Source organism: Homo sapiens, chromosome 2 (genome assembly GCF_000001405.40).
Source record: "Homo sapiens chromosome 2, GRCh38.p14 Primary Assembly".
Lineage (NCBI taxonomy): Eukaryota > Metazoa > Chordata > Mammalia > Primates > Hominidae > Homo > Homo sapiens.
Genome location: NC_000002.12, coordinates 197744241 through 197760948, shown reverse-complemented (window position 1 = coordinate 197760948; position 16708 = coordinate 197744241). Strand labels below are relative to the sequence as shown.

General features: G+C 40.3%; 1 protein-coding gene across 12 annotated transcripts in view; it reads left to right on the top strand.

The window, feature by feature from the left end:
- Positions 1–16708, top strand: part of BOLL (boule RNA binding protein) — a 59317-nt gene that overhangs the window by 25258 nt on the left and 17351 nt on the right. For 5 of the 12 annotated variants that reach the window (XM_011511692.4, XM_011511694.3, XM_024453053.2 and 2 more), the window contains exons 8-10: positions 1942–2007; positions 3549–3596; positions 4393–4521. In XM_011511692.4, the coding sequence (XP_011509994.1) occupies positions 1942–2007; positions 3549–3596; positions 4393–4521 (243 nt within the window). Of the gene's footprint in view, positions 1–1941; positions 2008–2792; positions 2817–3548; positions 3597–4392; positions 4522–4987; positions 5020–16708 lie in introns of those variants that run through there. The other 7 variants (NM_001284358.2, NM_197970.3, NM_033030.6 and 4 more) reach the window with 4 other exon arrangements.

The following is a 16708-nucleotide window of genomic DNA, read 5'->3' as shown; positions in this document are numbered from 1 at the left end:
TTGAATATATCTAAATATATCATCCCATTCTCCCTGGTAAGATTTCTGCTAAGAAATCTGCTGTTAGTATAATGGGGATTCCTTTAATTGTGACTTGATACTTTTTTCTTGCTGCTTTTAAAATTCTTTCTTTCTCTTTGACTTTTAACAATTTGACTATAATGTGCCTCTGAGAGGATCTGTTTAGATTGAATCTGCTAGATTCAACCTATCTGCTAGGGTAGTCTCTGTTTAGTCTCTTAAGCTGTAATACTCTCTAGTTGTGTTTCCAAGTTTCTCAGTGACCTAGCAAAAGAGAGTCTATGACAATGGTGGTAGGGCTTTGCCAGGGGTGGGCTTGCTGAGCTGTTCCTCAGGTCAGGGCTGTGTACATGAACATGGTAAGTCTGGCTCACTGGGCTTGGGGCCACAGGGCTGTTACTCTGGCTGAGAGCACAGGCATGCAGTTTCTCAGCCAGCCTGGAGGAGTGCCCACCAGAGGCAGCCTGTGGGGCTGTTTCTCAGGTCTGGTATGCAGGCACATGGCTCCTTCGCTGGCCTGGGGGTGCATCTGCTGGGGACAGCCCATGGGACTGTTTCTCAGGCCTGGAATACAGCTGCATGGCTGTTCAGTCGGCTAGGGACATGTTTGTCAGGGGCTGTTTCTCCGGCTCAGGATGCAGGTGCACAACTGCTCACCTGGCCTAGGGGCATGTCTGCTGGGGGTGGCCCACGGAGCTATTTCTCAAGTCTGGGACATAGGCACAGGGTGGATCACCCGGCCTGGAAACGTTTCTGTGAGGGCTGTTTCATAGGCCCAGAATGCAGGCACAGGGCTATTGGTCGGCCTGGGATCATGCCCACTGGAAGCAGCCTATGGGGCTGCTTTTCAGGCCTGGGACACAGGCTCCAGGCTGCTCAGCTGTCCTGGGGACGTGTCTGCTGGAGGGGTGGGCACGAGGCCATTTCTTAGGCCTGAGGCATGGACACACAGCCACTCCACTCCCCTGGGGACATTTCTGCCAGTGGCAGTCCCCGGAGCTGTTTCTTGGGCTCTAATTGCATGCACAGGGTAGGTCAGGGGCTTGTCTGCAGGGCGTGAGGCACCTCTGGGCTGTTTCTCAGCCCTGTATGCAGGTGTGTAACCATTCCATCCCGGCAGCATGTCAGCTACTACGAGGCTTGAGGACCTGTCCTGCTCAGGAGAGTGCAGCAGTTTGACCAGCTAAAGAGTGGGTTCACCCTGGGCAGGTCAGCCAGATTGTTCCTCTAGCTGGAGGTGAGGGCAACAGACGTTGGTTTCCCTACTGTACAGAACCAGAATCACAGCCAATCTTGAGCCTCAGGTTCCATGCTGCTGAGGTTGTGTTCAGCCACTGGTGTGTACTTGGCAGAATGAAAATGGAACCCCAGTACTGGAGACGTGCAATAGCTACTGGCCCCCTAGAGATGACTATGGCTTCAAGATGCTGTCACGCTGTAGCAGCTTCGCTCACAGGGTGGGGTTGAGGGGGTGGGGAGTACACACTTTGTACTCCTAATTCGGGGCAATGCAGCCACGAATTCCCAGCAGCTCTTCAAACTGTGAGACTGTGGGATTCTCCTGTTGCAAGGAGTGTGGCTGTTTGCAGTAGCAATGCAGGCTGGTGGGGATCTTCTGCTTACCTTTTCCCTGCAATAAGAAACTGCAGGACTCCAGGCAGAACCAATCCTAGCAGAAGAGAAGGGTTTGCAGAGGCTGGGTGGCTCCATGCTGCGCTCCTGGATTTGCAATCACCACAGGTGTGTCTCCACTCCCCTGCGGCACTCCAGCACTCTCCTTTTGATGCTCCTGTCAAATTGTAGCTGTTTATTCTTTGCCTTAGTCTTTTCTTGTGGCGGGGTGGGGAGCCAGTGGAAAATGAATGCTAGGCATCTCTGGTCAGCCATCTTGCTGACATCATGCCTCTCTTTTTTTACGAGGGAATTAAACAATGTCATACAAGAAGATGGATGGACTCTTTGCTTCCTTTTACCAAATGTGATGAGGTCAGTTTTGCTCCCCTGGCTAACATTTAGATCTAAAAAGTCTTTAGCAATAATTCCCCAAGTAAGATACAGGTATTGGACTGCAAGCTGGTTTTTTAATGTTAACATATGTCAGTTTCTTGCTATATTATATTTAACATAATTTATATTAAAGCAAATAATATATTGTGGTTTATTATATATTATGATATCCTCTTTCAGTTAACCAGCACTCTTCATTAATTTTAGTGAGAAATTGGGGATAAGTGAACTATAATGCCAGATCATTCTGGTCTATAGCAGGGTCATCAAACTATGGCTTGCAGACCAAACTCCAGCCAGCAGCCTGTTTTTGTAAATAAAACATTATTGGAACACAGCCACATTTGTTTACTTATTGTCTATGGCTGTTTTTGTGCTACAGTAGATGAGTTGAGTCTTCTTTTTCCCCTTATCCCAGTGCTAGGCAACCAGTAATCTACTTACCTGTTTTTCTAGATTTGCCTATTCTGGATATATCCTATAAAAACAATCATACAATATGTGGTCTTTTGTGACAGGCTTCTTTCATTTAGCATAATGATTTCAAGATTTATCTATGTCATGATAAATGAGACATGACATATCTCAGTACTTCGTTCTCAAATAATATCCCATTGTATGGATACACTGTACCACATTCTGTTTATCCATTCATCAGATGATGGACACTTGAGTTGTTTCTACTTTTTGACTGTTATAAATGATACTGCGATGGACATTCACATACAAATTTTTATGTGAACACATATTTTTATTTCTCTTAGGTTTTATAACTAGAGTGGAATTGCTGGGTCATACGGTAACTTTGTTTAACCTTTTAAGGAAGTGTTTATTTTCCCAAAGGGCTGCGCCATTTTACATTCCCACCAGCAGATTATGAGGGTTCTAATTTCTCCACGTGCCCGTCAACATTTATGATCTACTTTTTTGATTAAAGCCATCCTAGTAGGTATGAAGTGATGTTGTATTATGGTTTTGATTTGTATTTCCCTGAAGGCTAGTGGTGTCGAGCATTATTTCTTGTGTTTATTGGCCATATGTATATCTTCTTTGGAGAAAAGTCTATTCATATCATTTACCAATTTTTAAGTTGGGTTACTTGTCTTTTGATTATTGAGTTGTAAGAGTTCTTTATACATTCTTGATATAAGTTCCATGTTTTCTCTCATCCTGTGGGTTGTATTTTCACTTGCACAAAAGTTTTTTAAAGTTTTGATGAAATCTAATTTAACTATTTTTTGTTGTTGCTTTGTTGTTTATGCTTTTGGAACCATAATTTTAAAAACATTTCCTAATTCAAGGTCACAGGCATTTACACCTATGTTTTTTTCTAAGAGATGTATAATTTTAGCTCTTACATTTAAGTCTCTGGTCCATTTTGAGTTAATTTTTGTATATGGCTTGAGTTAATTTTTGTATATGGTGTGAGGGTCCAACTTCATATTTTTGCCTGTAGATATCTAGTTTTAACCCTTGTTTATAATCAGAATGGGTTTTTCTTTTCTTTTATTTAATTTTAGGCCACCACACAGTATTTACCAGGACAGTGGCAGTGGAGTGTTCCTCAGGTAAATGTTAACTTTCAATATATAATTTTAAATCCTTCTTTCATTATATTCTTGTGATGACTGCATGAATACTAAAGTTTTTTAGATTTGAGACCTTCTTCTTCTGTTTATTAACTTATTCTTTTGGCAGTTCATTTTCAGTTTCTTCATTTGTAAAATGGATATAATGATACTATACCTTTGTAAGTTTCCTTACATGATTTTTGTGAATATCAAATGATAATGCATAAGTGAAAGCATTTTATAAATGTGTACTGTATAAACATGAAAACTTACCCTTTTTTACTATTAGTGTTATTTGAAAATTTAGCATTTTTCTAACTTCATTTGGATTTGGCTTCAGTTTTTATTCTGTTCCTAAATAAGTATTCTATTTCCCAACTTTTGGTAACAAATAGTACTTCACCAAAAAAGTTTCACATTTTCCCACTTTCATTAGAAGTCACAGAGCTGAGAGTAGACATTTATGTCAATTTAAATACCATAGATCACATTATCACAACCTTTACTGGTGACATTAATATAACCATAATTATTATCTGAATTTATATATGAGGTTCTCAGTCATTAAGAAGTTCTAGTGCTTACCAATGATAAGATTCTTTAACTACATCTACACAGTTGGAATTTATAACAGATCAGTTTCTAATCCGTTGCTGAGATACTTCTGTGCTATTCCTAAAAAAAAATTTAGTAAAATAAAAAACAAGTACTTCTCTCATCTGTTGGCTAAGTCATTTGGTTTAACAGAAATAACTAATCATATTTGAATTAGAAATATGGTTTTGTATTTTAGCCTTCTGCCTCTTCTGCTCCATTCTTATACCTGCAACCTTCTGAGGTTATTTATCAACCAGTGGAAATTGCACAGGATGGTGGATGTGTTCCTCCTCCACTGTCTCTGATGGAAACTTCAGTTCCAGAGGTATGTATTAGTCTTAAAGTAATTGATCTATAACTACCTCATGTTAACATTTATTTCTTTTTCTCTTTTTTAAATTTGTTCACGACCCTCATTGAAACTGCTTCATCTTTGTTTTGTTGATTTATTCAAATCTCTTCCCCTTTCTTATATCTAAGAATGCATCATCTTAGACTTTTTCGCTAACTAGTTCTGAACCATTTCCCAAATCAACCATTCACTCCACTAAGCTAATCTTTGATTTGATCTTTTTGAAATAGTAAAATTCCAAATACTCTGCATTCTCATTTTGCCTGTCAATCTGTATTGTTACTAACATTCTATTAGTCAAAAGCATATAATTAAGATGAAGAAGAAAAAAAATCTTTAAAAAAATTCTTCCTACAAAAATGTAAATTAAATTTATAATTACAAATTTTAATATCCTCTTCAGCATCTTTAAATTATATTTCTGATCCGTTACTTATAGCTTCACCATCTGTATGCCAGGAACTGTGCATGGTATGTTTTATTTTATATTTTTTATTTTATATTATTTTAAGTTCCAGTACATATGTGTAGGATGTGCAGGTTTATTACATAGGTAAACCTGTGCCATGTTGGTTTGCTGCATCTATCAACCCATCACCTAGGTGTTAAGCCTGGCATGCATTAGCTATCTTTCCTGATGCTCTCCCTTCCCAGCCCCGACACGTCCCAATGTGTGTTGTGCCCCTCCCTGTGTCCATGTGTTTCTCATTGTTCAGCTCCCACTTACAAGTGAGAACGTGCAGTGTTTGGTTTTCTGTCCCTGTGTTAGTTTGCTGAGGATAATGGCTTCCAGCTCCATCCATGTCCCAGCAAAGGACATGATCTCTTTCCTTTTTATGGCTGCATAGCATTCCATGATGTATATGTACCACATTTTCTTTATCGAGTCTATCACAGATGAGCATTTGTGTTGATTCCATGTCTTTGCTATTGTGAATAGTGCTGCAATGAACATACACATGCATATATCTTTATAATAGAATGATTTATATTCTTTGGGTATATACCCAGTAATGGGATTGCTGGGTCAAATGGTATTTCTGCCTCTAGGTCTTTGAGGAATCACCACACTGTCTTCCACAATGGTTGAACTAATTTACATTTCCACCAACAGTGTAAAAAAGCGTTCCTGTTTCTCCACAGCCTCACCAGCATCTGTTGTTCCTTGACTTTTTAATAATCGCCATTCTGACTGGTGTGAGATGGTATCTCATTGTGTTGATTAGCATTTCTCCAATGATCAGTGATGCTGAGCTTTTTTTATGTTTGTTGGCTGGATAAATGTCTTCTTTTGAGAAGTGTCTGTTCGTGTCCTTTGCCGACTTTTTAACGAGGTTCTTTGTTTTTTTCTTGTGAATTTGTTTAAATTCCTTGTACATTATGGATATTGGACTTTTGTCAGATGGATAGATTGCAAAAATTTTCTCCCATTCTATAGGTTGTCTGTTGACTCTGATGATAGTTTCTTTTGCTGAGCAGAAGCTCTTTAGTTAATTAAATCCCATTTGTCAATTTTTGCTTAGTTGCAATTGCTTTTGATGTTTTCATCATGAAGTCTTTGCCCGTGCCTGTGTCCTGAATGAATAGTATTGCCTATATTGTCTTCTATGGTTTGTGTGTGTGTGTGTGTGTGTGTGTGTGTGTGTGTGTTTTGGGGTTTTTTTGTTTGTTTTTTGTTTTGTTTTTTGAGACGGAGTCTTGCTCCATCGCCCAGGCTAGAGTGCAATGGTGTGGTCTCGGCTCACTGCAACCTCCACCTCCCAGGTTCGAGTGATTCTCCTGCCTCAGCCTCCTGAGTAGCTGGGACTACAGGCACGTGCCACCATGCCCAGCTGGCTAATATTTTCATATTTTTAGTAGAGACGGGGTTTCACCGTGTTGGCCAGGATGGTCTCGAGCTCCTGACCTCATGATCCACCTGCCTCGGCCTCCCAAAGTGCTGGGATTACAGGTATGAGCCACTGCACCCAGCCCTTCTGTGGTTTCTATAGTTTCGGGTTTTACATTTAAGTCTTTAATCCATCTTGAGTTAATTTTTGTATAAGGTGTAAGGAACGGGTCCAGTTTCAATTTTCTATATATGGCTAAACAGTTTTCCCAGGACCATTTTTTTTTATTATACTTTACATTCTGGGATACATATGCAGAACGTGCAGGTTTGTTACATAGGTATACATGTGCCATGGGGGTTTACTGCACCCATCAGCCCATCATCTACATTAGGTATTTCTCCTAATGCTATCCCTCCCCGTGCCCCCGACCCCCTGACAGGCCCTGGTGTGTGATATTCCCCTCCCTATGTCCATGTGTTCTCATTGTTCAACTCCCACTTATGAGTGAGAACATGCAGTGTTTGGTTTTCTGTTCCTGTGTTAGTTTGCTGAGAATGCTGGTTTCCAGCTTCATCCATGTCCCTGCAAAGGACATGAACTCATTCTTTTTTATGGCTGCATAGTATTCCATGGTGTGTATGTGCCACATTTTCTTTATCTAGTCTATCATTGATGGGCATTTGGGTTGGTTCCAAGTCTTTGCTATTGTAAATAGTGCTGCAATAAACATACATGTGCATGTGTCTTTATAGAAGAAAGATTTATAAACTTCTCAATATATACCCAGTAATGGGATTGCTGGGTCAAATGGTATTTCTGGTTCTAGATCCTTGAGGAATCGCCACACTGTCTTCCACAGTGGTTGAATTAATTTACACTCCCACCAACAGTGTAAAAGCATGCCTATTTCTCCACATCCTCTCCAGCATCTGTTGTTTCCTGACTTTTTAGTGATCGCCATTCTAACTGGCGTGAGATGGTATCTCATTGTGCTTTTGATTTGCATTTCTCTAATGACCAGTGATGATGAGCTTTTTTTCATATGTTTGGTGGCCACATAAATATCTTCTTTTGAGAAGTGTCTGTTCATATCCTTCACCCATTTTTTGATGGGATTGTTTTTTTCTTGTAAATTTGTTTAAGTTCTGTTTAGATTCTAGATATTAGCCTATTGTCAGATGGATAGATGGCAAAAATTTTCTCCCATTCTGTATGTTGCCTGTTCACTCTGATGATAGTTTCTTTTGCTGTTCAGAAGCTCTTTAGTCTAATTAGATCCCATTTGTCAATTTTGGCTTTTGTTGCCATTACTTTTAGTGTTTTAGTCATGCCTATGTCCTGAATGGTATTGCCTAGGTTTTCTTCTAGGATTTTTATGGTTTTAGTTCTTACATTTAAGTCATTAATCCATCGTGAGTTAATTTTTGTATAAGGTGTAAGGAAGAGGTCCAGTTTCAGTTTTCTGCATATGGCCAGCCAGTTTTCTCGACACCATTTATTAAATAGGGAATCCTTTCCCCATTTCTTGTTTTAGTCAGGTTTGTCAAAGATCAGATGGTTGTAGATGTGTGATGTTATTTCTGAGGTCTCTGTTCTGTTCCATTGGTCTATATATCTGTTTTGGTACCAGTACCATGCTGTTTTGGTTAGTGTAGCCTTGTAGTATAGTTTGAAGTCAGGTAGCGTGATGCCTCCAGCTTTGTTCTTTTCACTTAGGATTGTCTTGGTTATATGGCCTCTTTTTTGGTTCCATATGAAATTTAAACTAGTTTTTTCTAATTCTGTGAAGAAAGTCAATGGTAGCTTGATGGGAATAGCATTGAATCTATAAATTACTTTGGGCAGTATGGCCATTTTCACAATATTGATTCTTCCTATCCATAAGCATGGAATGTTTTTCCATTTGATTGTGTCCTCTCATATTTCCTTGAGCAGTGGTTTGTAGTTCTCCTTGAAGAGGTCCTTCACATCCCTTGTAAGTTGTATTCCTAGCTACTTTATTCTCTTTGTAGCAATTGTGAATGGGAGTTTGCTCATGATTTGATTCTCTGTCTATTATTGGAGTATAGGAATGCTGAATGCTTGTGATTTTTGCACATTGATTTTGTATCCTGAGACTTTACTGAAGTTTCTTATCAGTTTAAGGAGTTTTGGGGCTGAGATGATGGGGTTTTCTAAATATACAATCATGTCATCTGCAAACAGAGATAGTTTGACTTCCTGTCTTCCTATTTGAATACACTTTATTTCTTTCTCTTGCCTGATTGCCCTGGCCAGAACTTCCAATACTGTGTTGAATAGGAGTGATGAGAGAAGGCATCCTTGTCTTGTGCCGGTTTTCAAGGGAATGCTTCCAGCTTTTGCCCATTCAGTATGATATTGGCTATTCGTTTGTCATAAATAGCTCTTATTATTTTGAGATACATTCCATCAATACCTAGTTTATTAAGTGTTTTTAGCATGAAAGGGTGTTGAATTTTTTTGAAGGCCTTTTCTGCGTCTATTGAGATAATCATGTGGTTTTTGTCGTTGGTTCTGTTTATGTGATGGGTTACATTTACTGATTTGCATATGTTGAACCAGCCTTGCATCCCAGGGATGAAGCCAACTTGACGGTGCTGAATAAGATTTTTGATGTGCTGCTGGATTTGGTTTGCCAGTATTTTATTGAGGATTTTTGCTTCGATGTTCATTAGGGATGTTGGCCTGAAATTTTCTTTTTTTTTTTTTGTTGGTTTCTGACAGGTTTTGGTATCAGGATGATGCTGGCCTCACAAAATAAGTTAGGAAGGAGTCCCTCTTTTTCTATTATTTGGAATAGTTTCAGAAGGAATGGTACTAGCTCCTCTTTGTACCTCTGGTAGAATTCGGCTATGAATCTGTCTGCTCCTGGACTTTTTTTGTTTAGTAGGCTATTAATTACTGCCTTAATTTCAGAACTTGTTATTGGCCTATTCAGGGATTCAACTTCTTCCTGGATTAGTATTGGGAGGGTGTATATGTCCAGAAATTTATCCATTTCTTCTAGATTTTCTAGTTTATTTGTGTAGAGGTGTTTATAGTATTCTCTGATGGTAGTTTGTATTTCTGTGGGATCAGTGGTGATATCCCTTTTATCATTTTTTACTGTGTCTATTTGATTCTTCTCTCTTTTCTTCTTTATCCGTCTGGCTAGTGGTCTATTTTGTTAATCTTTTCAAAAAACCAGCTCTTGGATTCATTGATTTTTTTTGAAGGGTTTTTCGTGTCTCTATCTCCCTCAGTTCTGCTCTAATATAGTTATTTCTTGTCTTCTGCTAGCTTTTGAATTTGTTTGATCTTGCTTCTCTAGTTCTTTTAATTGTAATGTTAGGGTGTCCATTTTAGATCTTTCCCTCTTTCTTCTGTGGGCATTTAGTGCTATAAATTTCTCTCTAAACAGTGTGTTAACTGTGTCCCAGAGATTCTGGTATGTTGTGTCTTTGTTCTCATTGGTTTCAAAGAACCTATTTATTTCCGCCTTAATTTCATAATTTATCCACTAGTCATTCAGGAGCAGATTGTTCAGTTTCCATGTAGTTGTGTGGTTTTGAGTGAGTTTCTTAATCCTGCATTCTAATTTGATTGCACTGTGGTCTGAGAGACTGTTTGTTATGATTTCTGTTCTTTACCATTTTCTGAGGAGTGTTTTACTTCCAATTATGTGGTCAATTTTACAATAAGTGCTATGTGGTGCTGAGAAGAATGTATATTCTGTTGATTTGGGGTGGAGAGTTCTGTAGATGTCTATTAGGTCCTCTTGCTCCAGAGCTGAGTTTAAGTCCTGACTATATTTGTTAATTTTCTGTCTCGTTGATCTGTCTAATATTGACAGTGGGGTGTTAAAGTCTCCCATTATTATTGTGTGGGAGTCTAAGTCTCTGTGTAGGTTTCTAAGAACCTGCTTTGTGAATCTGGGTGCTCCTGTATTGGGTGCATATATATTTAGGATAGTTAGCTCTTCTTGTTGCATTGATCCCTTTACCATTATGTAATGCCCTTCTTTGTCTTTTTTGATCTTTGTTGGTTTAAAGTCTGTTTTATCAGAGACTAGGATTACAACCCCTGCTTTTTTTTGCTTTCCATTTGCTTGGTAAATATTCCTCCATCCCTTTATTTTGAGCCTATGTGTGTCTTTGCACATGAGATGGGTCTCCTGAATATAGCACACCAATGGGTCTTGACTCTTTGTCCAATTTGCCAGTCTGTGTCTTTTAATTGGGGCGTTTAGCCCATTTACCTTTTAAGTTAATATTGTTATGTGTGAATTTGATCCTGTCGTTGTGATGTTAACTGGTTATTTTCCCATTAGTTGATGCGGTTTCCTTATAGTGTCGATGGTCTTTACATTTTGGTATGTTTTTGCAGTCACTGGTACTGGTTTTTCCTTTCCATATTTAGTACTTCCTTCAGGAATTCTTGTAAGGCAGGCCTGGTGGTGACAAAGTCTCTCAGCATTTGCTTGTCTGTAAAGGATTTTATTTCTCCTTCACTTATAAAGCTTAGTTTGGCTGGATATGAAATTCTGGGTTGAAAATTCTTTTCTTTAAGAATGTTGAATATTGGCCGCTACTCTCTTCTGGCTTGTAAGGTTTCTGCAGAGAGATCTGCTGTTAGTTTGGTGGGCTTCCCACCAAACTCTTCTCAAGGAGTATCTTTCTGGTGGTCTCTGTATTTTCTAAATTTGAATGTTGGCCTGTCTTGCTAGGTTGAGGAAGTTCTCCTGGATAATATCCTGAGTGTGTTTTCCACCTTGGTTCCATTCCCCGTGTCACTTTTAGGTACACCAATCAAACCTAAACTTTGGCCTTTTCACATAGTCCCATATTTCTTGAAGGCTTTGTTCATTCCTTTTCATTCTTTTTTCTCTAATCTTGTCTTCACGCTTTATTTCATTAAGTCAATCTTCCATCTCTGATATCCTTTCTTCTGCTTGATCAATTCAGCTATTGATACTTGTGTATGCTTCACGAAGTTCTCGTGCTGTGTTTTTCAGTTCCATCAGGTCACTTTTCTTTTTCTCTAAACTAGCTATTCTAGTTGGCAGTTCCTGTAACCTTTTATCAAGGTTCTTAGCTTCCTTGCACTGGGTTAGAACATGCGCCTTTAGCTCGGAAGAGTTTATTACCCACCTCTGAAGCCTACTTCTGTCAATTCATCAAACTCATTCTCCGTCCAGTTTTGTTCCCTTGCTGGCGAGGAGTTGTGATCCTTTGGAGGGGAAGAGGCATTCTGGTATTTGGAATTTTCAGCCTTTTTGTGCTGGTTTTTCCTCATCTTTGTGGATTTATCTACCTTTGATATTTGATGCTGATGACCTGTGAATGGGGTTTTTGCGTGGATGTCCTTTTTGTTGATGTTGATGTTATTGCTTTCTGTTTGTTAGTTTTCCTTCTAAGAGTCAGGCCCCTCTGCTGCAGGTCTGTAGGAGTTTGCTGGAGATCCACCCCAGACCCTGTTTGCCTGGGTATCACCAGCGGAAGCTGCGGAACAGCAAAGATTGCTGCCTGCTCCTTCTTCTGGAAGCTTCGTCCCAGAGGGACACCCACCAGATGCCAACTGGAGCTCTCCTGTATGAGGTGTCTGTCAACCCCTGCTAGGAGGTATCTCCCAGTCAGGAGGCACAGGTGTCAGGGACTCACTTAAGGAGGCATTCTGTCCCTTAGCAGAGCTCAAGCACTGTGCTGGGAGATCTGTTGCTCTCTTCAGAGCCGGCAGGCAGGAACATTTAAGTCTGCTGAAGCTGCACCCACAGCTGCCCCTTCCCCCAGGTGTTTTGTCCCAGGGAGATGGGAGTTTTATCTATAAGCCCCTGACTGGGGCTGCTGCCTTTCTTTCAGAGATGCCCTGCCCAGAGAGGAGGAATCTAGAAAGGCAGTCTGGCTACAGTGGCTTTGCAGTACTGAGGTGGGTTCTGCCCAGTCCGAACTTCCCAGTGGCTTTATTTACACTGTGAGTGGAAAACCGCTTACTCAAGCCTCAGTAATGGCAGATGCCCCAACCCCTGACCAAGCCTGAGCATCCCAGGTCGACTTCAGACAGCTGTGCTGGCAGCAAGAATTTCAAGCCAGTGGGTCTTAGCTTGCTGGGCTCCATGGAAGTGGGATCCACTGAGCAAGACCACTTGGCTCCTGGCTTCAGCTCCCTTTCCAGGAGAGTGAATGGTTCTGTCTCTCTGGAGTTCCAGGTGCCACTGGGGTATGAACAAAAAAAACCCTGTAGCTAGCTCGGTGTCTGCCCAAATGGGCACCCAGTTTTGTGCTTGAAATCCAGGGCCCTGGTGGTGTAGGCACCCGAGGGGATCTCCTGGTCTGCAGGTGCAAAAGCCATGGGAAAAGCGTAGTATCTGAGCCAGATATCACTGTCCCTCATGGCTTCCCTTGGCTGGGGAAGGGAGTTCCCTGACCCCTTGTGCTTCCCGGGTGAGGTGACGCCCCACCCTGCTTCTGCTCACCCTCCGTGGGCTGCACCCACTGTCTAACCAGTCCCAGTGAGATGAGCTGGGTACCTCAGTTGGAAATGCAGAAATCACCCACCTTCTACATTGTTCTCACTGGAAGCTGCGGACCAGAGCTGGTCCTATTTGGCCATCTTGCCCTGGACCTCCCCAGCACCATTTATTAAACAAGGAATCCTTTCCCCATTGCTTGTTTTTGTCAGGTTTGTTGAAAATCAGATGGTTGTAAATATGTGGTCTTATTTGAGTTCTCTATCCTGTTCCATTGGTCTGTGTTTTTGTACCAGTACCATGTGCATGGTATGTTTTAAATCAGTGTGGTGAAAGATTAAGAAATTAGCATTTACCTCCCAGTTTAAGTACATTGTTTTATTACTTTTTTAATATTATAATTTTGTTCTGAAACAATAATTTCCACAGTTGGATCTTAAGATTTACTATCAATACTTTTACTAGGATTTCTTTATTATTTGTTTCATGCCCCACCTTTTTTTTTTTTTTTTTTTTTTTTGAGCCCGAGTCTCGCTCTGTCGCCCAGGCTGGAGTGCAGTGGTGCCATCTCGGCTCACTGCAACCTCTGCCTCCTGGGTTCAAGTGATTCTCCTGCCTCAGCCTCCCAAGTAGCTGGGACTACAGGCGTGTGCCACCAAGTCTGGCTAATTTTTTGTATTTTTAGTAGAGACGGGGTTTCACCGTGTTAGCCAGGATGGTCTCAATCTCCTGACCTCGTAATCAGCCTGCCTCGGCCTCCCAAAGTGCTGAGATTACAGGCGTGAGCCACTGCGCCTGGCCTGCCCCACCTACTTTTTTATGGTTGCTTTTTTCTTTTTATCCTCAGCTTTACTAAATTGTAACTAACGACAAATGGTATACATTTACAGTGTATAGCATGATGGTTGGATATATGTACACACTGTGAAATGATTACCCCAATCAAGCTAATCCATCACCTCACATGGTTATCCTTTTTTTTGTTTGTGGTGAGAACATTTAAGGTACTTTAAGTCTTAGCAATTTTCAAGTATATAATATGTTATTATTAACTATAGTCATGCTATACAGTAGATCTTCAGGGCATATTCTTCCTTTAGAACTGAAACCCTGTAACCTTTGACCAACATCTCCCATCTCACTCGCCATCCCCAGTCCCTGGCAACCACCATTCTTCTCTCTGCTTTTTTTTTTTTTTTTTTTCGAGACAGAGTCTCACTCTGTCACCAAGTTGGAGTGCAGTGGCATGATCTCGGCTCACTGCAACCTCTGCCTCCCGGGTTCAAGCGATCCCCCTGTCCCAGCCTCCCAAATAGCTGGGACTACAGGCGCACACCACCATGCCGGGCTAATTTTTATATTTTTAGTAGAGACGGGGTTTCACCATGTTGGCCAGGATGGTCTCGATTTCTTGACCTCATGATCCGCCTGCCTCGGCCTCCAAAAGTGCTGGGATTACAGGCATAAGCCACCGCACCTGGCCCTCTCTGCTTCTATGAGTTCGACTTTTTCACGTTCTGCACATAAGTGAAATCATGTAGTATTTGTCTTTCTGTGCTTGGCTTATTTCACTTAGCATAATGTCCTCCAGGTTCATCCATGTTGTCATAAATGACAGGATCTCCTTCTTTGTTAAGGCTGAACAGTATTCCATTGTGTATATGGATACTACATTTTCTTTATCCATTCACTGATTGATGGACACTAAGGTTGATTCCATATCTTGACTATTATCAATAATGCTGGAGTGAACATGGAAATGGAGATATCTTTTTAACATACTGACTTCATTTCCTTTGGATATGTATACACAGTAGTGGGATTTCTAGATCACATGATAGTATTCTTAATTTTCTGAGAAACCACCCTACTGTTTTCCAAAATGGCCATACTAATTTACATTCCCACCAGCAGTGTACAAGGATTCCCTTTCCTCCACATCCTTGCCAGAGATCATTTTTGTTCCTTGTAAAGCCCTTTTTATCACAGGGGTTCTGTATTGGGATGTGGCAATTGCTACTTCCTTTCCCACTTTCTCCCTGCTTCACCTCCAGCAGTATTCCTCAGGTAAAAGGCTAGATAGTAGACAAGAAAAATTATATAAACATGATTTCTCCATCAATTCTACCTCCCCTGTTAAGTCAGGATTCTTAATTATTATTAATTATTATCCTAATTATGAATAGGATCTCTGTGGAGATATTTTGTGCTTCTACCTCACTCTGACCAATACATACTTCTGCACTCAAGACTCTAAAGTATCTTTGAGGAGGTCTTCCAGAACATTGACCTCTTGGGAAATCGTCATCCTTTCTCATGACTGAGGAGGCTTCAGAATCCTCCCTTATGTTCGTCCAACTTGCACAGCACTTGGCAGACATTCTACATTGTGTATGGTTTGGGAGTCATAGGCATTTTCTTCTTTAATTGATGATGGCATTTTAAAAATCTATATTTTGTTCTTTTTGTTGTTTTCTGGTTTGCCAGGAGCAGGTAGTGAGATAAGAATGCTTTTACATTTGATTTTTTGTCAGAATCTCTTTTGGCATTAAATCATATTTTTAATATCTGATATCAGATACTTACCATCAGAATATATGCACTATTTAATGGAATCTAATAAAGCTTTTCTGAAAATATTGCCCATCATTATCTTATAACTTGTACTTTGTGTGGTATTTCCATACAAAATATTTGCATGTTTTTGTTTTGCTACTGTTTCTAGTAGAGGGTATAGTCTGACTAATATATAACTTAATGAATAGAGTGGGATGGTTTACAGTTGAAGTGTTTTTTTCCCTAAAATTAAGAACTTCACGACTTTTCTTGTGAGTGTTATAGTCAAATTTCTTTTTTTAAAAAAAAAAGTGACCGTCTTCACTCACTTATTTCAATGATTATTTTAAACCTTTGCCAAGCCCTCAGTACTACCAGATTGCACCCACTCCACTGCCTGCCCATGTCATTCTGAGAATATAGCTTTGCCTTCTCTTTTGCAGAGTAAGAACCAATTTGTGAAAACCAACTCAGCCTCCAACCCCTGAAACACAAACTTTACCTGTATCGTAACTCATCCTTAGCTTCTTATATTTATTTAGTGACTTTCAGTCTTGTCCAAGGTTATTTCTGCCTCTTGCGATCTAGATGCTATCAGTTCCCTCCTCCTCAGGGACCTCATTCCATCTACTGTTCTTTTTCTGTCTTGTATTTGAAGTCTTCTTCTCTCCACTGGTTTACAGCTTCACAACTTACTGTGTTACTTTGAGGAATTGCTTAACCCTTCATGGTCTTGCTTTCATAATCTCCTTATTTGTAAAATGAGGACATCAGGAAAAACTATTTTGCAGGATTGATGTAAAGACTAGAGAGATGGTATACAAAGTTCTTTGTATAGTGTGCAGCACCTTGTAAGAGGCAATATTATCCTGTGACACACACTCCCACCACTTCCCTGATTTTCTGCTACCTTCCAAAGCCAAGTGTCTTGAAAAAGTAGTCTACATTCAGAATTTCTGCTACTTCACTACTCATTCACTCCTCACCTGCTGAAGTCTACTTCATTACCTTTCTGCTGAAGCTGCCTTGGGTAAAGGTCCTCAATGACTTCCTAACTGACACAAACTTTCCTTTCTTTTTTATCTTATTTGACCTCTCAGAGACATTGTACCTACTCCCTAAAACTCTTCCTACCCTTGGTTTCCATGATACTACTCTCTTCTGGCAATCCTTTTACCTCCTTTTGTTTTCCTTTATAAGCAGATTTTGTATTTGATTCTCCATTCTTTCACCACATGTACTCACTCTGATGTTATCATCCATAGCCATATATCTAGCCTCCGTCTCACTCCTGAGTTTTAGACTG